General features: G+C 40.3%; 1 protein-coding gene and 1 long non-coding RNA gene across 4 annotated transcripts in view, besides 1 other annotated feature; one reads left to right on the top strand and one right to left on the bottom strand.

The window, feature by feature from the left end:
• The window catches only part of LOC107984257 (uncharacterized), a 125,247-nt gene that overhangs the window by 7,732 nt on the left and 91,761 nt on the right, over positions 1 to 25,754 (top strand). The window lies entirely within an intron of this gene.
• The window catches only part of ACSM6 (acyl-CoA synthetase medium chain family member 6), a 34,692-nt gene that overhangs the window by 7,883 nt on the left and 1,055 nt on the right, over positions 1 to 25,754 (bottom strand). For all 3 annotated transcript variants that reach the window (NM_207321.3, XM_047424639.1, XM_047424638.1), the window contains 7 exons: positions 18,852 to 19,062; positions 13,632 to 13,839; positions 10,254 to 10,397; positions 9,013 to 9,169; positions 8,107 to 8,189; positions 6,072 to 6,195; positions 1,076 to 1,156 (listed from right to left, as the gene is read on the bottom strand). In NM_207321.3, the coding sequence (NP_997204.2) occupies positions 1,076 to 1,156; positions 6,072 to 6,195; positions 8,107 to 8,189; positions 9,013 to 9,169; positions 10,254 to 10,397; positions 13,632 to 13,839; positions 18,852 to 19,062 (1,008 nt within the window). The remainder of the gene's footprint in view (positions 1 to 1,075; positions 1,157 to 6,071; positions 6,196 to 8,106; positions 8,190 to 9,012; positions 9,170 to 10,253; positions 10,398 to 13,631; positions 13,840 to 18,851; positions 19,063 to 25,754) is intronic.
• Positions 18,603 to 18,897: a silencer, noted in NCBI's record as "fragment chr10:96961907-96962201 (GRCh37/hg19 assembly coordinates)". NCBI's record gives its function as "represses an EF-1alpha promoter that drives an FKBP-Casp9 reporter gene in an ReSE screen in HepG2 liver carcinoma cells {active_cell/tissue: HepG2}" and the evidence as "EXISTENCE:reporter gene assay evidence [ECO:0000049][PMID:32094911]".

The raw sequence follows: 25,754 nt of genomic DNA, 5'->3' as shown, positions 1-25,754 counted from the left end.
TTATTTTTTGAGAGGAAAATTACATGCTCATTTTATTCATGTCTCTAAATGCAAAGGCCCAAACAAATAAAAATTAAGAAATTAAATCCAAGAAAATAAAAAGAAAGAAATGCAACGAAAATTTAACATTTGAAAATATTTTTAATTAACTCTATTAATAGAGAAAAACTATTTTACCTTTTTAATAGGATCAGAAAACACATTTAATATAATGTAGTACCTATTCATGATTACTGGAAAAAACAAACATATAAACCTCAATGTATTAGGTTAACTTCCACATCCTGTTAAATAATATGTAGTGAAACTGGATAGGCAAACAAAAAACAAAAAATAGAACTCTACAGTAAACATTATCTTTAACAAAATTGGGTCAATTTCAGAATGATACAATAGTTAAAGTAAATACTAATATTTGTTTCATTCAGGTTGAGAACTTACTATTTCCTTTTGACCAATGTTAAAAAAAGGCGAGATAGGCGTGAAAGCAAAGGACTATCTTAAAATGAATAATGGTAATTTCATAAGTGCTGCTAATTTGAGTCTGCTTTTATGTAATAAAATCCTAGACACAGCATTTGCCCTACCATCTTAGTATTGCTTCCTATGCCCATACTGTGAATTCAGCTACATCATTTGGGAATCACATTACAGTATTTATAATAATCGACACCCGAGCAGCTGACTAGTGGCTTAGACTTCCCACTTTAGTATATTTTTAGTTCAAGTACAGAATGCTTATTATGGTGCATTCAAAATAGTTGTCTTTATTTTGCACATATCTTTTTAATAGCAATTTTTTTTATTCGATTTCTCCATATTTGAAACTTGAACTACATTAAAGGGATATTCTGCAAAATTGTCAGCATCTCCTTCCCTCATTCCTGTGTCTGGGCTTTGTATTCCAAAAGGATATTGAGGTGGAAATAAAAGCAATAATGTGAGATTATCCTTGGGGTGAATTTAGAGAATGGTGGACTTTCCTCATTGCCTACCTTTATGTCAGAAATTTAGATAAACAACTGTAAGAGCTCACTTAATAATATCTGTCATAATCATTACTATGATCTCCTACCTGGACAATATAAGGTGGCAATGGCTTCCCCAGAGAGCTTGGCTTCAATTTTATTGTTTTGGAAGTGGCACAGAGTAGACCCTGTTCAAAGAAATGCAGACAAGTTTTTCTTTAAAAAAGCAATAAATTAATGGATCTAGTTATTGATCATAACCAGACATTATGTGCCTCCTAACAGAACAACATTACACAGTCTAACAAGTAATCTTGATTAAAAAAAAATCAAGCAGGAGTGTGACTAAATTAACCTCTAGGTCAATTTACAGGAAATGCAGGGGAACAGAAGAACATGTAAACCATACTGCAATTAGCAAAATCCAGGCTGTGAAATATTCAAAAGAACCAACAACTCAGTTTTTTAAAATAACAAATTCAAGGAAAAAAGAAGGTAATGAGGAAATTCATAGATTAAAAGATACACAAAAGTCTTACCAACTAGCCACAATGTGTGTGCTTAATTGGAACAAATGGTAGCAAGAAAACATGCATGACTTAGATGATGGATGAAAATGTCAGTGGTAGATATTTGTTAATAAAAGGCAATTACTGTTAACTTTCAGGTATAATTGGAGAATATGTTTGTTTTTTAGTGCCTTTTTTTTAAATATACTAAAGCTATTTATGAGAAAATATTGTTTTTGGGATTGTAGAGGAGTAATGATAAAACAGGATTAGGTAATAATTGATGAAATGGGCAGTGGATGCATGGGAATTCAAATACAGTTTTGTCTATTTTTGTCTTTTGAGATTTTCAATAATAAATGTCTCAAAAATAAGTAATTGTTGGCTGCTGAGAAATACTTCAGCATACATGCAGGGCACCCCAAAGAGGGCACAGAGGTCTACCTTGGAGGACATGAGAACTGGATCTTGGATGAGTCAACCATGGGTGTAATGGGATGGAGAAAATTTTATTTATTAGAATTTTACCCCTAAAGTGCTGGGACTATAGGCATGAGCCACTGTTCCCAGCCTAGAACAGGAATTATTTCTGTCTTCTACATAGTTATTTTTCCAGTACCTATTGCTGTGTCTTACACGGAAAGAGACTTAATATTTTCTTGTGTTTACATGCTAACAAATTGGGAGCCCCCAGATTCTGAATGTTTTTGAGGATGGCCATAGTAATCTCTCTCTAGTGTACCGCAGTAACTAGTTTTATGGTTCCTTTAAGAACTCCTCCTTCCCTTCATCTAATCTGGTGGGACTATTAATCATGGTTCTGTAGATCCACTTTTTGGCATGAACAAATGTCTCAGGTTAGGCCCCTTAAGTTATAGTCCAAGGGAAAAGCATATGACAGAAGCATGGACAATCAGAGTCTGTTCCAAGAATTTTCCAAAGTAGAGGTAGAAGTAGGGCTATTTTGATCTTGTCTGAAGGAGTGGTGACTCCAGAGTTGCTGGTGTTAATCTTGTCTGCTTTGTGGAAGAAACTCATCAGAGAACAACTCAGAGAAAAAAGCAGATGGAGCAATTGAGAGGGAGAGAAAGAGAGAGCTGATGTTTTAAGAGTTTTTTTAGTCCTGGTGTTTTGGCCTCTCCAGTCTTGATTCCGTAAGCCTTGAAGCTATTCCCAGCAAAATGGACTTATAATTTCCACTTTTGCTCAGGCTTGTTTGAAATATGTTTCCATCACTTGCATCCCAAATAATGCTCACAAAACACAAGACTCCTTAGCTATTGCCAGTACATTACAATTAAATGGAAGATGTACATTTTCTCCCATGCAGGTTGTGTGACTAACTAAAAATGCCAAGTTTATTAGGTGTTGCTGGAGTCATATCAACTTAGTGTATCAACCTTGCCTTATTTCAGATGTTCTGAGTGTCAGTTATATTTGTATTTCATAAAAAGAAAGATAAAGCCAAAATCATTACTGCCTAAGATGTGCTGTTTTCTTGCTAGACAGAATCATTCACAACCTGAGATCAGTGGGGAAATACAATGCAATGAGTCCTGGGTGCTGAAAATGTCAACTCTTTGGATGTAATTAAATGGATCTGTGAGTGTAGTATAGACAGAATCTGAGACAGAATTTGATCATTTCTCAAGTTCCCTCTTTTACAGTTTTGAATTGTAACTTGCGTACCAAGCGTGAGCTTGACTATGAGGTCTCAAAGTTTTGAACCTTGTGTTCTGAATTTTCTTTAGCTTTCTAAGTGAGGATGTTTCCTGAGCCATATGGAACTACATAGCTCCACCAGGGTCCTCAAACTATAGACCTCTCCCCAGAGCCTAGGCTATCAATTTGGCTGTTTTGTCTTCTCCCACACAGTCTGAGGTTTTCTTAGTCACCAAAGAATTTTTTTTGGACGTATGACAGAACTAAGTCCTATAAAAAGGCTTTGGTGTTACCAAGATTATGGAATTCCCTTCTTAGTATAATTAATAAAAACAGTAGTAATATATAAAACAAATGTAAGAAATCCCCCTGCCCCCCACCACAAATTCTTATTTCTCCCATGCTATTTGAATGTTTTAAAAACATTGGGTATTCAATTCTCTCAAAAATATTTTGTGTTTTTGCTTCTCAGGAAGCCTATTTTATGGACCATCTGGCAGTGAATGCAGTTAATCCAGGCAACACTTCCCTATTTTCTTTTTCTTTTTCTTTTTTTTTTTTGAGATGGAGTCTCACTCTGTCCCCAGGCTGGAGTGCAGTGGTGCGATCTTGGCTCACTGCAACCTCCGCCTCCCAGATTCAGGTGATTCTCCTGCCTCAGCCTCCCGAGTAGCTGGGACTGCAGGTGCGTGCCACCACACCCGGCTAATTTTTTGTATTTTTAGTAAATACAGGGTTTCACATGTTGGCCAGGATGGTCTCAATCTCTTGACCTTGTGATTTGCCTGCCTTGGCCTCCCAAAGTGCTGGGATTACAGGCGTGAGCCACTGCTCCTGGCCCACTTCTCTATTTTCTTTTGTTCCTATCTACCTGGAAAACACTGAAACCAATTCATGTAAAAATTTGGCCACCAGCCTAAGGTACCAGCTCTACATTCTTATCTGTGGTGTTTCCATCATATAAGCTTTCCTGCTTATTTTCATCCTCATGTTGCAGGAACAGGACTGTTTGTTCCCTGACTCTTTCCTTCCAGAAACTTTTCACATGGTGTCTAGATAGAACATCAATTGAGTGGTTAAGGAACTATTCTACATCCACATCTATATCCTCTTTACTGGATGTTCTCTTCATCAGTTACCTTTCCAGAGACCTGGCTCTTCCATGGGAAGAGGTTTCTACTTATTTTTTTCAAGTGGGGGATGTTGATCCTTTTATATTCCTTGGGTTTGGCATCTTTTGAGCTCCCAATACCACCTTCTGACCATTACTTCTCTGACGCTATGTGCAATTCCCTTGTCTTTTTGAGATTCATGCCATTTACATTTACCACCCTATACCACTCTTTGTTGTCTATAATTTACCAACCTCTCAGTCATTCCTTATCCATTAAGGCCTTCAGCATGAGGTTCATTATCTTTCCTTTGATTCCAGGTCCCGCTGTCATCCCTAGTGCCTCCTGCAGCCATATGAATGATCAGTTCTACCCCCAGTCTCTTCCTTCCTTGATCCTGATCTCCAGGGAGTGTGATGTGTCTCCTCAAAATTTATGTGCTAATTCCCTACTGCTCACTGTGATGGTATTTGGAGATGAGGCCTTTGGGAGGTCATTGGGTTTAGATGAGGTCATGAGGGTGGCACTCTCATGATGGGATTAGTGCCCTTATAAGAAGAGATGCTGGGCACAGTGAATTGTGTCTGTCATCTTGGATATGCTGGGTTGCTGAGGTGGGAAGGTCCCTGAGGCCAGGAGTTTGAAACCAGTCTGGGCAACATAGCAAGTCTGTGTCTGTGCTAAAAAATAAAATAAAATAAATAGCAAGCATGGTGGTGCACACCTGTAGTCCCAACTGTTTGAGAGGCTGAGGTTGGAGAATCTCTTGATCCCAGGAGTTTGAGGCTGCAGGGAGCTATGGTCACACCACTGCACTCTAGTTTGGGGCAATAAAGCAAGACCCTGCCTCTCTTTAAAAACAAACAAACAAACTGAAAGACACTAAAGAGCTTGGAAAGAGCTTGGTCTCTCTCTCTCTCCCTGTCTGTGAGAACACCATGAGAAGTTGGTAGTCTGCAACCTAGAAGAGGACTCTTCCTAAAACCCGGCCTTTCTGGCACTCTGATCTTGGACTTCCAGCCTCTAGAACTGTGAGAAAAATAACTTTGGTTGTTTAAGCCACTCAATCTATGATATTTTGTTACAGCAGCCTGAGCAGACTAAGACAATTATCTTCAGTCCTTCCAGCTCCATTGACATCTCCAGTGCCTTGTCTTCTCACCACTGATCTGCCTTTTCTTGAATTCCCTTCCTTCTCTGATCAGCTTAGTTTCTTAGTCTTTCATCTTAATGCCAATATCCCTATATCCCTTGCCTGCTGCCCTTTTATTGCACCTTCTTGGCAAAATGTTAATCCTGTTCCAATCTAACTGTCCACTTTTACCATGCTTTTCATCTGTGTTTTAGAGTGATATTGGAGAAAATGACACAACTAAATAGTTAGTGACTTTGAAGATTAATGCTCTCCAACCTCAAATGTGCTCTTATCATAACCCATTTCTCCTTTATTTTCATAATCTACTCTTTCTTCCATTTTCAGCAGTGATAATTTTAAACATCCTCCACTCAGACTTGTACCCCATCATTTTTTCATTCTTATCACATGATATTGCCTTATACTCCACAAAGAGGGCAGGAATTGTCAGGTGGAAACTAGTTCAAGTTTCTGTTGTGAAATCTGTAAATCTGTAAGTTATCTGTACCTGTAATTCTTTGTCTTATCATGGAAGAGGGGTCTCCCTAGTTTAAGCCATTTCCTCTTCCTGTGCTTAAGATCCAGTTGTGCATTTCTAGTGCGTGCTTAGTGCTTTGACAGTGTGCTTACACAGTGAATGGGCAAGTTTGGTTTCTGGCTAAATAGTGAGTCAGCATCAACCTACAGTTTCCGTCTGCCCATAGCCTTCATAGATGTCCAACTTAGTGATGCGTTTCCAGTCCTCAATCACCCCAGGGCTGATGGGTCCTCCTGCAGCCACACACTGCTTCAGACTCTTGAATCTGTAGCTGGAGAGGCATCAAAAGTTGTTCTTAGCCTCAGGGAATATTTCTACCAATAACAGGTCTGTTAGAAAGAATCTTGGAAAAATGATGCAGTTATTCCAATACAGGAAATGCTCATTAAGTGGTGGTTGATGTTCTTAATACTACTCTATTAGATAATCTATTCAGACACCCCAGTTAGATCAATCTCCATGAAGACTCTCATTTACTCTTCTGGACAAGCGGCATTAATGTTAAAAGCAAATCAACCAGTGCTAACTGATGGCAGGAAGCCAGCCTTCTGCAGAAACCCTTCTGAGTTTTATTACCTCTCCCAAAGCCAGAAGTGTTTGTGAAGGATGTGTCAGCAATGGTAAGGTAAAAAAGGAACTAATTTTCTGAAGTCTGGAGGTGGAAAGAGAGCCACTAATTTTATAAACTAGGCTCAAAATCTCTAGATATTATAAGTTTCCACAGCGCCCCAACAATAGAATAGTAGTGAGCATTTTTTATAAACCCACAATTCATTTTATGTTTATTTGATTTTGGTGATGTCCAGTGGAAGGGTCAAGTGTGGGAAGATTATAGCAAAACTTTTTATGGTCTCAGATAGAGGCAGTGACCCTGTATATTCTGAATACATGAATGTACCATATTAATGGTAATGTGGTAGCTCATCTGTATTAGATAATAACTGCCTGCCCAGTTAGGTCCCAAGACTAAGCAAGATCAAAATTGGAGAACTGATTCTGAATTAATCCCAAATATACCATTACATCATTGCCTTTATATTATTAATTTCAGGGTATAAGCGAGAGATGACTATTTTAAAATTTTTAAGTGCTTTTAAGGGTTTAAGAAATAATCTGAACATTTTATATGAGATGGAATGTTGCTGAATAAAGATATACCATATTTAATCATAGCGATTTTTAACTGCTCCACAAAATGCCAATGAACTAGGCGTTCCTTCATGTCAACATAATTTAATACGGTGGTATTGTTTGCTACCATGGTTGTTTCCTTCTGTAGAGTTTATGTCCTTGCCCACATAGCTAAAATGAAATTTACACTTAAATGATTATTTAGCAAACACTAAGGCTTGATACAATGATTGAGAACCTGTGATTTCTCATTAATCTTTATCGATGATGATTGGCAATTCTACTTCTTAGTTGGTACCCTAGGGAATTGTGGGGTGTGTGCAATGATGCTCATTTCAGCAGCTTAGAAAAGATTCAACTATCTTTGATAGGTACTTGGCTTATTAATGTACAATTCATTCATACTAAAGAATACTATGCAATGATTAAAAATGTATTACCCATATTATCATAAATAGAGCTTTAAGGAATAGTGTGAAAAAAATGCAAGTTTCACTATGATATAAACAGATACCATCTATATAATCCCACCCCAATATCATAATATGTTTCTTTTGGGATAGATGGATAGGTAGATACACATAGGTATAAATTTGTTTTAAAAAGGCCTAGAAGAATTCATATCCAAGAGAGAAGGTGGTCTTTGTCTATAACTCATTTCCCGTTTGCTCTGAGAAATGAGTGCTGGCGGTGAATTACACATTTTTTTTTCTTCAAAATGGGAAATGGGTTAATATTTACTTTTTGAATTAAAGGTAGTATATTTGTCTTTAATGTTTATCTTTTTAAAGGGAGGTATAATTATAAATTTTTTAACAAACTCAACCTTCTAATTATAATTTAATTTTATGTTCTGGGTCAAGATATGGATTTCAAGTTGCAAGGGAATAAAAAATCACACACACTAATGGAGTTGTTGTCATGAATGGCAACAAGACAAGTGTGTTACCGGAGGGTAAGATTGGATCTACTTCAACAAATTAAGGGGTCCTAATTTTATTTATGGTACCATGAGTGGAAATGGACTCTCTCCTGAGGGATCCTCTCTTACCTGGTGAAACACTTGTGCTGAAGCAGTTCCTGGTACATCTCTGGATTTGCAGATAGAGTGGTGATGGGAAATCTGGACAGGACCTGGGCCCCAAAGGAAGGAAAAACAAAATCTGCATGTGAGGTGGGAGAGACAGTGAGACTGTGGCAGGGGTCCAGGCGGGAAAGTCCAGGGAAGAGGGTCACAGACTTTGAAACTCAGCTTGGGGATGCCTTTTATCTCAAAGACTTAGTGATTCCCCACCTTCCACACCTTGGGAGAGAATTTAGCTTTAGCTCTGTGAACATAGGAGCTATCATATTAATCACTGATAACCGAATGCATACACAGCGAGGCATTTACTTCTGGATCCAAGAAGCCTTGTTTTGATCTTTGTCGCTTTAAATAATAAGCCTAGATGTTGCCAGCAAAATTGTGGATTGTGCAGCAGTTGAGAGGTTAGCACAGCAGTGTAGAAATTGTGCTGTGGAGTTCAGTAGACCACAGTTTAATTCCTAGTTCTGCCTCTGTGATTCCTTAGGCTACTTACTTAACCTCTGTGAGAATCAGTTTCCCCAGTTCTTCCCTCACAGGGTTCTTGGGGAGATGAAATAATCCATATGAAGTGCCAGTAAGTAATCAGTAAATGATAACTGATATTAATATTATCTTCCTCAATATCACTATTGTCTTTTAAAAGTTTCCTTCTCAGTGATACAATGGAAGTAGCCAAGTCTTCCTAATTGCAAAGCCCCTAGGGAAGAGAGAGAGCATTGCTCTCACAAGCAGGGAGAGCATCTTCAAGTCAAGATCACATTCCAAATTTAACTCTTGATTTGCCCCATTCTGGGCATGAGTCACTGGGTCATTGCTAATGCCTCTCTCTGGCCTTTGTCCCACACATTCCACACTAGGAATTGATCTTACATTTAGAACAGTCTCAGGGCAGAAGGTTGGCATGTGACACAGAAACACACAGGCTCCTTGGAACCAAGTTCCCAAGACAGCGCTCAGGGATAAAGATCCACCAAAGGCATCACCCAGACTCCACAAGACATCTGTTGGCTGGAGATCCATCCACCGTCTAAAGAGAAAGAGGAAAGCCATTTGAATTCTCTCGTGCTGGTACTAGCAACAACAATAATACTTGCTATTATCAAGCCCTGACCTGTGGGGAGAAACAAAGATCACACAAATGAAAACAGGCAAAGCCTATTTATGAGGTCATGAGGCCAATGGACTCCTTAAATTTTTTCAGTATCAGTCTTAATTGGCATGGCATTGCCTTCCAGGTTTTATGGCTTTCAGGGGTCTCAGAAGTTTATTAATTAATTAAATTAATTAATCCAGTAGGCACTTTTATTAATTAATGGATTGATTAAGTCAGTGATCTCAGCTTCCCCTGTTTTATTTCTCTACCTGATATCTACTGGCCGTTGTTGCTTATGAGAGTCAAAGACTTTGAGGTGAAGGTGAGGAACATACACCTATTTCCGCTAAGGGACCTTTGTGTAGTTTGTTAAGAGAACTTGAGGGTGGAGTAACAACACACAACCATTTGTCTAAGGCAGGATTGAATGTAAGGTGGGGAAACTTAACCCCAGACAAACCAAGCTAACACAAGTGCAAGCCAACTACTTCATTGCATGTTCAACCAAAGAGATTGAAATCAGTTTCAGTGCCCTTTGAATTTGCCGAGAGATACCCATGAGCTACTTAACTAATTTTCTTAAAAAAGGGGTGGTGTGATGACATGTGATTTTCATCTTAGAGGCTGACTCTAGAACCCAAACCCCTTATCAATTATGACTCTACCTCTGTGTTTATCACTACATATAGTGGTCAACACAATTGTTCACCCTGGTGCTGGTAGCATAGAAAAACAAGTAACATCCCACAGTGTGTCTTTGGGGTGATCATCCTGGATCCCTCACCTACTGCATGGAATCCCTGCTCTTCCTCTTTTCCCTCCTGCTTACTCTTAGAATTTTGAACTATAGTAATTTGCTTTTCATCTTTTGGGGCCCTCAGCCCTGTTCCTTCTCTCAATATTGACACTTTCTGCAGTCTTGAGTAAGAAACTCCTTTCTTAGCTTTAGTCCCATGAAGCTCCCTTTACCTGCAAGAGAACAACTTTCAGGCCTGTACAGGCTGTGCGAGAACCGTACCTGGAAGCCTGGCTGAATCCCATTCCCAAACCATACTGGGAATACTCGACCATTTTGGGAGCTCCTGTTGTACCCTTGGTGAAGAATATGGCCATTGGATCTTGGCTTTTGGTCCTCATGTAGGTCTGCTTTGGAGGGGCAACTCTGTAAGCCAGGAAAGAGGCAACAGTGAGATCTAAATTTAGGTTCTCTGATTAAGTGCCTAGGCCCTGGGTTTGGTAATCTCTGATTTTAAAAAATAACAGCTGGTATCTTGATATATTTGAGGATTATTTGTTAGAGGGGCAGCTGCCATTTTTCCCTTAAATTTTTTTTGCATTAATTTTTGTTGCATAAGAAATATATGATGCATTTATACGCCAGCCTTATTTTTCTCAGTAAAAGACCCTCTTTATTCATTCAATTGCTCAAGTCAAAAATCTGTAGTAATCATTATTGTTCCTCTTTCCCCATCTATCGACTTACCTACCTAGCTATCTGTGCCACATCCTAACCATTGCCAAGCCCTGACAACTCTACTTCCAAAACATGTCACAAGTCTCTCTCTCTTCACTATTCCTAACCAGGGATGGGACTAAGGTGGAGTGAGTGAAACATTTGCCACAAACATTGTGATATTTAAGGGGATACCAGCAAATTCAGTAGTCAAGATAAATAATATTTTAGTGAAATGTTTTTAAATAATGAAAACTAATGCAAAAATCCATGATAAACAAAATATTGAAATTTAAAACAAAGACAGGACAACAACACTTCCAAACTGTTCAAATATTCCCAGTATGATTTAGGAATGGGATTCAGGCCGGCTTCAAGATGCAGTCCTCACACAGCCTATAATCCAGATAGGCACTTGCATGACTCACCTTACCTGTCAGCCCAGTCCTGTCCCTGGTTCCAATAAAACTTTATTTATAAAAATAGGCAGCTGGTCTGTCATGAGAAGTTTACCAATTTGATTTTTTTAATTAAAAAAAATTAAATTATTCAATTGAAAAGAGTATACAGTTTATAAAATTATAAATTATGAAAACATTACATAAATATATAAAATAAATATTTGTGGAAATTTAAAACTTCAATTATAAAAATTATTTTATAATTTAATTAAAAATTATTTTAAAATTAAAATATTATTTCCCTCGATCACTGGATTTTTCAGTGCCCTTTTACATTTTGTGCCTGAGGTGAGTTCCTCATTTGCCTGGCTTGTTTTCGGTCCTGTCTCCATTGCCACCACCATGGTCCACACCGGCACGGCCTCTCATCTGGACGACAGCAACAGCCTTCTCCTGGGTCCCTTTACTATCTCTCTTGTCTCCCATTTTTCAGACAGCAGTTGAGGGAGTTTCACAATTGTGGCTGAGATCAAGTCCTTCCCTTTAGTGTTTCCTAGACGACTCCTACATGACCTCCAAGACCTGCCGCAGTCTTCCCCTCCCTTGCGCTTCGGCCTCCTCTCCTGCTACTCTCTTCCCCACTCTCCGCACTTCAGGTGCCCTGGTGTTCTTTCTGTTCCTCACACAGTTTAAGCTCGCTCCCACCTCAGGTCCTTTACCTCTGAGTTCCCTCTGCAAGGGACAGTGTTCCCTCAGAGCTTCCAAAGGCTAGCTCTGTCATATTCAAATCTCAGCTTATCCTCACCTCAGAAGTCACCAAATCTAAAATCATTCCCCCATCTCCACATCAGACCAATTTATTTAATTTGCCTGTTTTGTTTTGGAGTTTCTTTTGGAAACTTTATTATATTGATAATTTATGTGTTTTCTTGTTGTCTATTTGTTGTCTATAATATAAAATCCATGAGGGTCGGGGTTTGACTGTCTCGTTTACTGCTTTTTTTTTTTTTTTTTTTTTTTTTTTAAACATCCCTGGACACTGAAATACTGCCCTCTAAAGACCACATTGATAATTATCAAACTTAATTTAGTAGTCTTGCCTTATCCGTGGGGGATGTGTCCCAAGACCCTCAGTGGATGCCTGAAACCATCAATAGTACTAAGCCCTATATACACTATGCTTTTTCCTATACATGCATACCTATGATGCAGTTAAATTTATAAATTAGGTATAGTAAGAGATTAAAAACAAAAACAAATAATAGAATATAACAATGTACTGTAATAAAAGTTATGCAAATGTGATCTCTGTACTCACCTATTTTGGACGGTAGTTGACCACAGGTAACTGAAACCGCAGAAAACAAAGCCACAGATAAGGGGGCACTACTGTATTTGGCTAACTTGAGGATGAACATGGCATCATCTCGCTATTTTAATAAGTATTTCCCCATATCCCAGTGAGGGTGAGGTTTACTTTTGTATAAACTTAAGGGGAACAAGTGCAGTTTTGTTACGTGGATATTGCATATATATATGGTGAAGTCTGGGTTTTCAGTGTAACCATCACCAAAATGGTGTACCTTGTACCCATTAAGTAATTTCTCATTCCTCATCCTCTCCCATCCTCTGACCTTTCCGAGTCTCCAGTGTCTATTATTCCACACTCTGTGTCCATTTGTACACATTATTTAGTTCCCACTTATAAGTGAGAACATATGGTATTTGACTTTCTGTTTCTGAGTTATTTGACATAAGATAATGTCCTCCAGTTCCATCCATGTTGCTGCAAAAGACATTATTTCTTTTTTTTTTTTGAGACAGAGTCTCACTCTGTCCCCCAGGCTGGAGTGCAGTGGTGTAATCTCGGCTCACTGCAACCTCAGCCTCCTGAGTTCAAGCGATTCTCCTGCCTCAGCCTCCTGAGTAGCTGGGATTATAGGTGTGTGCCACCACACCCAGCTAATTTTTGTACTTTTAGTAGAGACGGGGTTTCACCATGTTGGCCAGGCTGGTCTCGAACTCCTGATGTCAGGTGATCTGCCCACCTTGGCCTCCCAAAGTGCTAGGATTACAGGCATGAGCCTCCCGAAGTGCTGACATTGCAAGCATGAGCCACCATGTGCGACCATGATTTCATTTTTTATGGCTTCATAGTATTCCATTATATATAGTCTATATATAAGTTTTTTGTTATGTTTTTTGTAATATGTTTATATTTATATTACCTAATTTTTTATCCTTTCAGAACGAATGGTTACATATGAATCAGAACATAAGACTTTCACTCAGACTGGGAACTTGTAGGTCAGACCAGGGATGCTTGTGTTGGGGGTTACTCTGCTTTTTTCAGGACTAGAAATTGCCATTCAGCTTTTCATTCTGACCACTCACACCACCTTCTCATACATCATCTAATCTTGCATAGAAATTGCCATTCAGCTTTTCATTCTGACCACTCACACCACTTTCTCATATATCATCATCTTTCAAAGTCAAACATTTCCTTCATTTAAGCATCTCATATTCAGTGTCCACTTACTGAATCAACTTCTTGAAATCCAACCACCCATCATAGCTCTTATCTGACACCAGGAGCTTGGTTTTCAAGGTGGGGCAGTCGGACACGGCAGAGTTTACAACTGGGGCCATAGCTTCATTAGCCACAATGCACTGGGCCTTAGACATGCGTAATTGATAGCGAATTTTCTTGGCAGTCAGCTGGGGGCTCCCAGGCACAAAGGTGATTCCTGAAAAAAACCACAAAAGAAGGCTTCATTTTTATCTTTTGAGTAGAGAATTTTTCCTCAAGCATTCTGGCAGGCATGGATGAGGTCTCTGGGTTACCCTCTCTCTTAGGAGTCTCTCTTCTCTATTGGGTCAGTAACACGATGGCGACTGGGGAAAACTGAGACAGGCAGGAGACTGAGCCCACTGAAACAATCCAGTGATCTGTGGCTCTGTTGCTGTTATCCTTTCACCTCAATCAGGTCCTGAGTTTATATGGCTAAGTGTCAGACCACCAGTTACTTGAAATATAGCCTAATTTTGAAACTGTGATGCAAAGGGATTATGAAAACTTCCTCTTTGTTGTTTTCTCATGGCTTGAGAATGGCTTTTGCTGTGGATTTCTGGATTTGCACTGGAGAAAAGACAAAACAAAAAGACCTTCCTGCCTCTCTTCTTGGGCTGTTTCTATAGATTCTTCTGCATCCATAGAACACCTATTGTGGACCTCCTATGAGACTGGCATACGCTGGTTGCATCTGTGTGCCAGAGGCTCTTCTGACAGACGCTTCTTTTTAGTTTTCAGGCTTAGAGAACTAGAATACTTCTAGGATTAACTGGTGATGACCTTGCTTGTCTTGCAGTAATGCTTACACTCCCAACTACAGACCTATTGATTTTTGGAAAAGGATCTGCTTTACCGGTGTGGGCCTTTCCCACATACTGCACCTTCATCTTCTGTTTCTCACACTGAAATCTCTTGGGCATCATAAAATGTCATTGTTCGTAATAGCCCAAATGTGGAAACAACCTAAATATCTATCAGCTGATGAACTGATAAATGAAATATAGTATATATATTTACACAATGAAATACTATTAATTCATAAAAAGAGTGGAGTACTGACACATGCTATAACATGGGTGAACCTTGAAAACATTATGGTAACTGAAAGAAGTCAGGGACAAAAAGCTAGATGTTGCATTCTATTTGTAAGAAATATCTGGAAGAGGCAAATCCAAAGATAGGAAGTAGATTATTGGTTGCCAGGTTTTGCAGAGAGCGGGGAATAGGGAGGGACTGCTAATGGGTTTCTTTTTGGGGTGATGAAAATCTTCCAGAAATAGACAGTGGTGATGGTTGCCCAGCTTTGTGAATATTCTAAAAACCATGGATTTGTACACTTTTAAACGGTGAATTTTATAGTATATAAATTATATCTCCAAAACAAAGTCATAGGAAACAGGATCTGGCATGGAATGGGGAGTTCATCTAATTCGAGTTACTCACTGGGCTGATGGGAAGGCCGAGGGACACAGTGGAAAAGACCTGTTCAGTATCACTGATTGCCATCTTATAGCTATCAAGTTACCCTTTAGCATTGAGTATATATATATGAAACCGTGCAATTGTGGGTGACACAAAGAAGTATCTTTCTTTAGATAACTGCAAACACTTTCAAGTGCCCCCACCCTTAGATGAAGCATTTGAAGAGGAGTGCCAAGTAATGTTAATTTATTTTCCCTATTGATTAGTAAGAACTCTTTCTACATTAAGGCCATTGACCACTTATCTTTCATAAGTGTTGCAAATATGTTTTCGATTTTGGCATTTGTCTTTGCCATGGTCTGAATTTGTGTGTCCTCCAACCCAGATTTGTATGTTGAGATTCTAAACTCCAAGGTGATGGAGGTGAGATCTTTGAAAGGTGATCAGATCATGAGTGGAGGTCTCATGAATGGGATTAGTGCCTTAATAAAATAGGCTCCCAAGAGATCCCTCATTCTTTCCATCATATGAGGACACAGCTAGAAGGAGCTATTTCTGAATCAGAAAGTGGGCCCTCACTGACATTGCGTCTGCCTTGATCTTGGACTTCCCAGCCTCCAGAGTTGTGAGAAATAAATTTCTGTTATATATGAGTTACTCAGTTGATAGCATTTTGCTATAGTAACCCAAGCAGACTAAGGCAGTGTTCAAATTTCTTTTGTGGTGGTTTAAGAAAAATACTAGAACTTTATAATAGTAGAAACTATATCTAAAAAATAATCTAACAGCTTTTCATTTTGTTTACAGATATAATGTTGAAATTTCTTGTGATAATGTCAGCGTAGTTTAAAAGCCAATTTAACTTTATCATGTTGAGTAATTTATAATAATTGAGAGCTCTCTCATTAGGAGAGATGCATGTGTTGTTAGAGCCATCACTGTGCAGCTTTCTGGATGCCACCAAAAGGGCACATCAGATGTAATCACACAGACAGATCTCACATATATGGAGAAGGGAGGAGTGCACCCTGGTCCCTCCTCCAAGTTGGCCACACAGATGTTTCTTATACATTATAGTGATTTTTTTGATGAATGAAATTTTAAAAATTTCATTAAGTGTAGTACATCTTTTTTTTCCTTTTTTGTTTGGGTATCTGGTGTCATATTCAGAAAGCCTTTCCATGAGTTTATGTACTCACCTATATATTCTTCTAATACTTAAGTCCTTTTCTAACATTTCAATTTTTAATGGTTCATTTGAATTTATTTTGGTACATTATTTGGAGGTAGAGTTATGACATTTAACGTTTTCAAACAGTTATCTTTAAATCATTTAAGAACTAATCAATGCTTTCATTAATGGCTTGAAAAGACCTGATAAATTATTATTATTATTATTTTTTTAAATAGACAGAGTCTCATTCTGGCACCCAGGCTGGAGTGCAGTGGCGTGATCTTGGCTGACTATAAACTCCACCTCTCGGGTTCAAGCGATTCTCCTGCCTCAGCCTCCGGATTAGCTGGGATTACAGGTGCCCACCATCACGTCTGGCTAATTTTTGTATTTTTTTAGTAGAGACGGGGTTTCACCATGTTGGCCAGGTTGGTCCCGAACTCCTCACCTCAGGTGATCCTCCCACCTCGGCCTCCCAAAGTGCTGGGATTACAGGCGTAGCCACTGCGCCCGGCTGATAAATTCTTACATATACTTTGGTCTGTTCTGAGTTTTCGATTTTGTTTTCATTCATTTTGCCTTATACCATCAATAAGCAATTTTAATTATTGTGAGTGAAAATGATAGCCCTGCTTTGGACTGGTATGTGGCTAAGGAAATCACTCTGCGTAACTTGGCCTCAGGTAGGAAGAATTTCTGGTGACCCAGACTGAAGTGGTCCCTGTCCTTTCTCAGACATGGATCAATTGTCCCTCAGGATAACTCAGTCCATTGGGAACTGGGGAAACACTGGGAGCCTGGATAGGCCTGAGGGTAGGGTTCACTCCCTTCCTCTCTTCTGTATGCTCCCCATAACTGACAGCTGGCATTCTCAAAGACACCTGCTCTTTGAATCACTTTTCAGTTTTTTTTTTTTTTTTTTTTTTTTTAAATCTAGCATCCCTGTTAGCAGGCAAAGGCAGTAGGCCAGTTGTGGCAACTCCTAATGAGTTTGGCCCATCTCAGGGGTACTTTGTTTTTCATACGCACCTTCCAACTACCAAAAAATATATGCCTGTATCCTAAGAATAGAAAGTCAGGTACTATAGCAGATAAAGAGGAATGATATTGGGGGTGGGCTCCTTTCCAGTATCCTTCACTTCTCACATGTGAAGGGGCTCTTGATTGAGGCATTTCCTGTTTATGTTGGAGGATTGAGCCTCAGGGGCATGGATGGGATATCCACAAAGAGCAGCTCTATTCTGGCTGATCCCAAGCTCATTCAGGGTGACTCTCAAGGACTCTCTAATACTGGATGAAGAGCAGTGGTCCCCAACCTTCTTGGCACCTGGGTTTTGTGGGAGACAATTTTTCCACAGACTGAGGCAAGAGGATGGTTTTGGGATGATTCGAGTGCATTACATTTATTGTGCACTTTATTTCTATTATTATTACATTGTAATATATATTGAAATAATTATACAACTCATCATAATGTAGAGTCAATGGGAGCCCTGAGCTTGCTTTTCTGCAACTAGAGAGTCCCATCTGGGAGTGATGGGAGACAGTGGCAGATGATCAGGCATTAAATTCTCATGTGGGGTGCACAACCCAGATTCCTCGCATGCACAGTTCACAATAGGATTTGCGCTCCTATGAGAATCTAATGCCACCTCTGATCTGACAGGAGGCAGAGCTCAGGTGGTAATGCAAGCAATGGGGAGTGGCTGTAAATACAGATGAAGCTTCACTCACTTGCCCTCTGCGCATCTCCTGCTGTGCAGCCTAGTTCCTAACATGTCACAGACTGAGGTAGAGGACGCTTTAGAGATATTCCTACCTTCTCTGTCTTTTTTTTTTTTTTTTTTTGAGACAGAGCCTTGCTCTGTCACCCAGGCTGGAGTGCAGTGGCACAATCTCAGCACACTGCAACCTCCGCCTTCCAGGTTTAAACAATTCTTGTCCCTCAGCCTCCTGAATAGCTGGACTACAGGTGTGTGCCACCACATGCAGCTAATTTTTTTTTTCTGCTTTGTGTTTTTTTTTAGTGGAGTTGGGGTTTCATCATGTTTCCCAGGCTGGTCTCAAACTTCTAAGCTCAGACAATCTGCCTGCCTTGGCCTCCCGAAGTGTTGGAATTACAGGTGTGAGCCACTGCACCCAGTACCCCTACATTCTCTTTTTTATAGATGGGGAAACTGAGGCCCAGAGAGGGCAAGATGTGCATGCTCTGTCTGTTGTTTTGATGATGACTATGTTAGGACAGAGGTCTACAGTTCCTTGAGGTGATAAACAGCCTATGAGCTAAGCGCTCTGTGGATTATTTACTCTTCACAACAGTTCTGTAAGACTGGACCGTAACAGTTCTATAAATATGGACTATTACTGTCCATATTTAATAGACAAGGAAACTGAGATTCAGAGAGGCATAATTTACAGAGGTGGTAAGTGGTGGAGCTGGGTTCAAATCTAGGCCTGTTTAAAGATCCCCCACACTGTGGGAAGAATTCAGGCATCAGATAGAGATCCCTCTAACATCTCCATTCTGTGAATAACTGAGGCTGGGATTCACATAAGCCTCCAACCCCTGGGGTCCGTCTCCCATGCCTCACCCAAGCGCACACAGGCCAGGCAGATCCAGTAGGCTTCAGGTGTTGGGGGCAAGATTATCATCAGCCGGTCTCCATGGCTAAGGGCACAGGTGTCTGAGAGGATGCTGGCGGCCTTCTTGGAGAGTTGAGTCATCCTTTCAAAGCTCCATTTGTCCTCTTCTCCTTTGGCACTAACCTTCCAGAGGGCGGGGTAAGGCCCTCTGAGTCCGTCCTAGGCAGGGTGATGTTTAAAATATGAATATTAGTCAGCATGGACATTGGCTATGGGAGGCCACTGTTGCCAGACAGCACCCTCAAGTGGCTAGATCTTGAGAGGCTAGGATGCCTGGGCTTAGGGGGAGCTACTGTTTCTCAACTGGCACAGAAATATTTACTGTTTACTGACATGGCAGTACTGGTAGGTTTCAACATAATGTCAGGCATGAGCCTAGGGAAGAACCTCCTGAGAGAACTCAGCATGTAACGTGAAACCAGCCCTGCCCAGGATGGCAGAGATTTCTCTGGGCATAAATCCCACTACTGGGTGTCTACCCAAAAGAAAAGAAATCATTATATAAAAAAGACACCTGCATTCATGTGTTTATGGTAGCACTCTATTCACAATAGCAAAGTGATGGAATCAACCTAAGGGTCCATCAGTGGATGATTGGATAAAGACAATGTGGTATACATACAACATGGAATATTACTCAGCCATGGAAAAGAATGAAATCCTGTCTTTTGCAGCAACATGGATGGAGCTGAAGGCCATTATCCTATGGGAAATAACTCAGAAACAGAAAATCAAATACTGCCTGTTTTCACTTATAAGTGGGAGTTAAACAGTGGGTACATATGGACATAAAGATGGAAATAATAGACATTGGGGAGGCTGGAGGGGAGTGAAGTTTGCAAAATTACCTATTTGGTACTATGGTCACTGTTTGGGTGATGAGTACACTAGAAGCTCAAGCCTCACCATTGTGCCATCTATACATGCAACAAACCTGCACATGCACCTCCTGAGTCTAAATTTTTTTAAGAAAAGATTTCTCAGGGCATGATCCTGTAAGTAGAGAAGAGTGCCCTCCTCCTAGCGGATAGGATTCTATTCCTGCCTTCAAATATACCTGTCTTCCAATGCAACTTATTTTTCAGTGGGACGAGTTTTGAAGGGGAAAGAATTTAATTTCCAATACCTCTTAGTGAATGCATGGATGAAGTTACCTAGAACTTTCAAAGCATTTCCATTCTAGCTGAGCCTTCTCCTCCTTAACAACACGGGTTTGTCCTCTTCTCTCCCTGAGGATGGAGGGAAGGAAGGCTCTTTTCTCCCTTTTTTCCTTCTTTCCCTCCTTTATTCCTTTTTTCCTCCTTTCTGTCCTCTCTCTCTCTCATCTCTTTCCCCCATCTCTCGCCTCTTTCCCCATCCCTCCTTTCCTTCTCTCCTACCTTCTGAACTTAACTTCTTTCTTCCTTTACAACTTTCTTCCTCCTTTTATCTCTTTCTCTTGCCTTTCTTCTCTTTTTCTCATCCACCCTGGAGCAGCCCATAGAATTGCTACTTTGTTCTGACCTGTTTAGAGTCTTCTTCTTCTTCTCCTTCTCCTTCTCCTTCTTCTTCTTCTTTCTTCATCTTCTTCTTCCTCTTCCTCTTCTTTCTTCTTCTTTTCATCTTCTTCTTCTTCCTATTCTTCCTCTTCCTCTTCTTCTTCTTTTCTTCTTCTTCAAGTTTTAGGGTACATGTGTACAATGTGCAGGTTTGTTACATGTGTATACATGTGCCATGTTGGTGTGCGGCACCCATTAACTCGTCATTCAGCATTAGGTATATCACCCAATGCTATCCCTCCCCCCTCCCCCCACCCCACAACAGTCCCCAGAGTGTGATGTTCCCCTTCCTGTGTCCATGTGTGCTCATTGTTCAATTCCCACCTATGAGTGAGAACATGTGGTGTTTGGTTTTTTGTCCTTGCGATAGTTTGCTGAGAATGATGGTTTCCAGCTTCATCCATGTCCCTACAAAGGACATGAACTCATCATTTTTTATGGCTGCATAGTATTCCATGGTGTCTATGTGCCACATTTTCTAAATCCAGTCTATCATTGTTGGACATTTGGTTCCAAGTCTTTGCTATTGTGAATAGTGCCTCAATAAACATACATGTGCATGTGTCTTTATAGCAGCATGATTTATAATCCTTTGGGTATATACCCAGTAATGGGATGGCTGGGTCAAATAGTATTTCTAGTTCTAGATCCCTGAGGAACGGCCACACTGACTTCCACAATGGCTGAACTAGTTTACAGTCCCACCAACAGTGTAAAAGTGTTCCTATTTCTCCACATCCTCTCCAGCACCTATTGTTTCCTGACTTTTTAATGATCACCATTCTAACTGCTGTGAGATGGTATCTCATTGTGGTTTTGATTTGCATTTCTCTGATGGCCGGTGATGATGAGCATTTTTTCATGTGTCTGTTGGCTGCATAAATGTCTTCTTTTGAGAAGTGTCTGTTCATATCCTTTGCCCACTTTTTGATGGGGTTGTTTGTTTTTTTCTTGTGAATTTGTTTGAGTTCATTGTAGATTCTGGATATTAGCCCTTTGTCAGATGAGTAGGTTGCAAAAATTTTCTCCCATTCTGTAGGTTGCCTGTTCACTCTGATGGTGGTTTCTTTTGCTGTGCAGAAGCTCTTTAGTTTAATTAGATCCCATTTGTCAATTTTGGCTTTTGTTGCCATTGCTTTTGGTGTTTTAGACATGAAGTCCTTGCCCATGCCTATGTCCTGAATGGAATTGCCTAGGTTTTCTTCTAGGGTTTTTATGGTTTTAGGTCTAACATTTAAGTCTTTAATCCATCTTGAATTAATTTTTGTATAAGGTATAAGGAAGGGATCCAGTTTCAGCTTTCTACATATGGCTAGCCAGTTTTCCCAGCACCATTTATTAAATAGGGAATCCTTTCTCCATTTCTTGTTTTTGTCAGGTTTGTCAAAGATCAGATAGTTGTAGATATGCGGCATTATTTCTGAGGGCTCTGTTTTGTTCCATTGATCTATATCTCTGTTTTGGTACCAGTACCATGCTGTTTTGGTTACTATAGCCTTGTAGTATAGTTTGAAGTCAGGTAGCATGATGCCTCCAGCTTTGTTCTTTTGGCTTAGGATTGACTTGGCAATGCAGGCTTTTTTGGTTCCATATGAACTTTAAAGTAGTTTTTTCCAATTCTGTGAAGAAAGTCTTTGGTAGCTTGATGGAGATGGTATTGATTCTATAAATTACCTTGGGCAGTATGGCCATTTTCATGATATTGATTCTTCCTACCCGTGAGCATGGAATGTTCTTCCATAGAGTTTCTTATTATAACAATGAGAATTGGCAGGGATGGGATGGGCCTTCCCCAACCCCTTCTCCTCCCATGACCAATAACAACAAACACAACTATATCTCTCCCCTGCCATTAATTTTTATTTTCTTGTCAACCACATTTTGATGTAGTTCAGGCCTAGGCCGTCAGAGATAATTTTATTTATGTGACCATGGAAGTAATTTTTTTTTTTTTTTTGAGACAGTCTTGCTCTGTCGCCCAGGCTGGAGTGCAGTGGCATGATCTCAGCTCACTGCAACCTCTGCCTCCCGGGTTCAAGCAATTCTCCTGCCTCAGACTCCCAAGTACCTGGCACTACAGGCACACACAGCCACACCAGGCTAATTTTTTGTACTTTAGTAGAGATGGGGTTTCACCATGTTGCCCAGGCTGGTCTTGAACTCCTGAGCTCAGGCAATTCACCTGCCTCGGCCTCCCAAAGTGCTGGGATTACAGGCGTGATCCACTGTGCCTGGTTGTAATTTTCATTTTTGTTCTATAATATCTTTGTGCGACCCAAGTAAGAACTCTGCTCACATCACTCAAGCACCTTTAGTGGTTTGCCACAGCCCATCACATCAGGTCCAAATTCTTTGGCTTCCTGGTTTTTTTTTTAGGGTGATATGTAGGGAAAAGAAAGAGAGATCAGACTGTTACTGTGTCTATGTAGAAAGGGAGGACATAAGAGACTCCATTTTGGAAAAGACCTGTACTTTAGACAATTGCTTTGCTGAGATGTTGTTAATTTGTAGCTTTGCCCCAGCCACTTTGCCCCAGCTACTTTGACCCAACCTGGAGCTCACAAAAACATGTGTTGTATGAAATCAAGGTTTAAGGGATCTAGGGTTGTGCAGGACGTGCCTTGTTAACAAAATGTTTACAAGCAGTATACTTGGTAAAAGTCATCGCCATTCTCTAGTCTCAATAAACCAGGGGCACAGTGCACTGCGGAAAGCCGCAGGGACTTCTGCCCTTGAAAGCTGGGTATCGTCCAAGGTTTCTCCCCATGTGATAGTCTGAAATATGGCCTCGTGGGATGAGAAAGACCTGACTGTCCCCCAGCCCGACACCCGTAAAGGGTCTGTGCTGAGGTGGATTAGTAAAAGAGGAAAGCCTCTTGCAGTTGAGATAGAGGAAGGCCACTGTCTCCTGCCTGCTCCTGGGAACTGAATGTCTCGGTATAAAACCCGATTGTACATTTGTTCAATTCTGAGATGAGAGAAAAACCGCCCTATGGTGGGAGGTGAGACATGTTTGCAGCAATGCTTCCTTGTTATTCTTTACTCCACTGAGATGTTTGGGTGGAGAGAAACATAAATCTGGCTTATGTGCACATCCAGGCATAGTACCTTCCCTTGACTTAATTATGACATAGATTCTATTGCTCACATGTTTGTTGCTGACCTTCTCCTTATTATCACCCTGCCCTCCTACTACATTCCTTTTTGCTGAAATAATGAAGATAATAATCAATAAAAACTGAGGGAACTCAGAGACCGGTGCCGGTGCAGGTCCTTGGTATGCTGAGTGCCGGTCCCCTGGGCCCACTGTTGTTTCTCTATACTTTGTCTCTGTGTCTTAATTCTTTTCTCAGTCTCTCGTCCCACCCGACTAGAAATACCCACAGATGTGGAGGGGCAGGCCACCCCTTCATGATAGAATTTACTGATGAACAGACTAGTACAAATGAAAAACAATGAAAATACCAAGAGTTTATGTATGTATGAAGAAACACACCCTACCACACGATGCCATTGAGTGTGGGAATTGGCACTTTTTTGTAGAAGGCAATCCAGAAATGTATTTTCCAAATGCTCGTGTAGTGCATTTGATGGAGTAATTTCACTTCTGGTAATGTAAATGAAGAAAAGAATATAGATACACAAAGATATTCATTTCAGCCTTGCTTACAATAGCAAAAAAAAACTTGTAAACTACTTAGAGGGGTAACAATAAAGAATAAATACATCTTGGTTCAACACTCAATGAAATACTTTATAAACATAGAGATATTAAAGTATTAAGTAGAATATTTATTGGTGTTGAAAGGTAGTTTCCACATCATATTGTTTCCACATTATATTATTTCTACAGTGCATTGTTTCTACATCATGTTATTTCCACAGCATAGTGCTTTCACAGCATAGTGTTTGGAGGAGAAAAACAGCAAGTAACAAGTCAAGTAACAAGTGTGATTCCAGGTTACAAATAGTTATATATAGAATGACTCCACTTTTGTGAAATCGGATGATCTATAAAAATCAGTAGAAAAGAAATATATATGAAAATTACCAGTGGTTATCTTTGGGTAATATTCCATATTAAAATTTTTTCATGTTTACCAGTATTTTCTAACAATTCTATGATGAAGTGCTCTTAAATGATAAAGGGTTGGAGCAGATGATTTGTAAAGTTCCTGCTGACTGACGTTTTGGGCACCTGTGATTGATGCCCCAAGTGACTTCAGACAACCAATGTTTAGTTGGGCTGACTGTGTGGCTTTTGGAGCCCAAGCCTTTGCTCACAGCTGCAGCCCTCTGAATTCCTTGGCACCCAATCACTGCTCATCTGTCTTGCCTCCCAGCCTGGAAGCTTCTGCTGGGTAGGGCCCAGCTGGGCCTTTGTCTGTAATCCATATGCTTAATCAAGAGCTGAGCAAAGGAACAAGGCTCTGCATGGTGCCAGATGCCATGCGGGCACAAAGAGATAAAAGGCACAACGCTAGCCCTAGAATCTTACTGGGACCCAGGACTCACACATAGTGCCTGGTGGTAGAACACAAGCTAAGAAAAGCAGAGGAGAGAGAAAGCAGCACAGGCTGGGCTGGGAAGGCAGAATGGGTGGGGAGGGCACCCCAAGAGGGGGCACAGCTCAGCAAAGATGAAAGCACCCCAAAGTCCTTCAGGATACATGCCTCAAACCTTTTCAAGGAGCTTTCACAATCCTTGCTCTACAGAATTTTTGTTCTTTGGCCCAAATGGGTAAAAATTAAGTCTCCTAAACAGAAGTCTTCCCTCTTATCTAACCCTAGATGATGCACCAAAGGCAGTAAGTATATTTTGCACAAAGACAATGAATTACTGTTTTGTCCACTTTCCTTACTCCTCCCAAAGCGGGTGATGAAGGTGGGGAGGGCCAGGAAGGGGCCTGGGGAGGGGAGGAGAATAGAGGGGCAATCAGATATTACACATGCAAATAACTCTCGCTGCTCACTCTCCACACGCACTGGATTCTCCTGCGGGCACCACCAGCCCCACTTGACAGAGGGAGGAAATGAGGCTCAGAGAGTTAAAATGACTTGCTCCAGAGTTACCTAGCCAGAGAGTAAGCAAGTCCACTCCACACAGCAGGGCCTTTCAAAATTAGACTGCTTCCTGCCTGTTTTCTCCTCATAACTCAATACTCTTCCCTCTGACCCTATACCTAGCCAAACTGTTCCTGAATACTCTTCCTTCTTTCCATGATGTCTCTATTCATGTGGTTGTTCCTGCCTAGACAGTCTTTCCCTTGTCTTTTTGTTGAAATTCTTCTCATTCTTCAGGATGCAGTAAATA

Source organism: Homo sapiens, chromosome 10 (assembly GCF_000001405.40).
Source record: "Homo sapiens chromosome 10, GRCh38.p14 Primary Assembly".
NCBI classification, from domain to species: Eukaryota; Metazoa; Chordata; class Mammalia; order Primates; family Hominidae; genus Homo; species Homo sapiens.
This window is presented reverse-complemented; position numbering and strand designations above follow the sequence as displayed.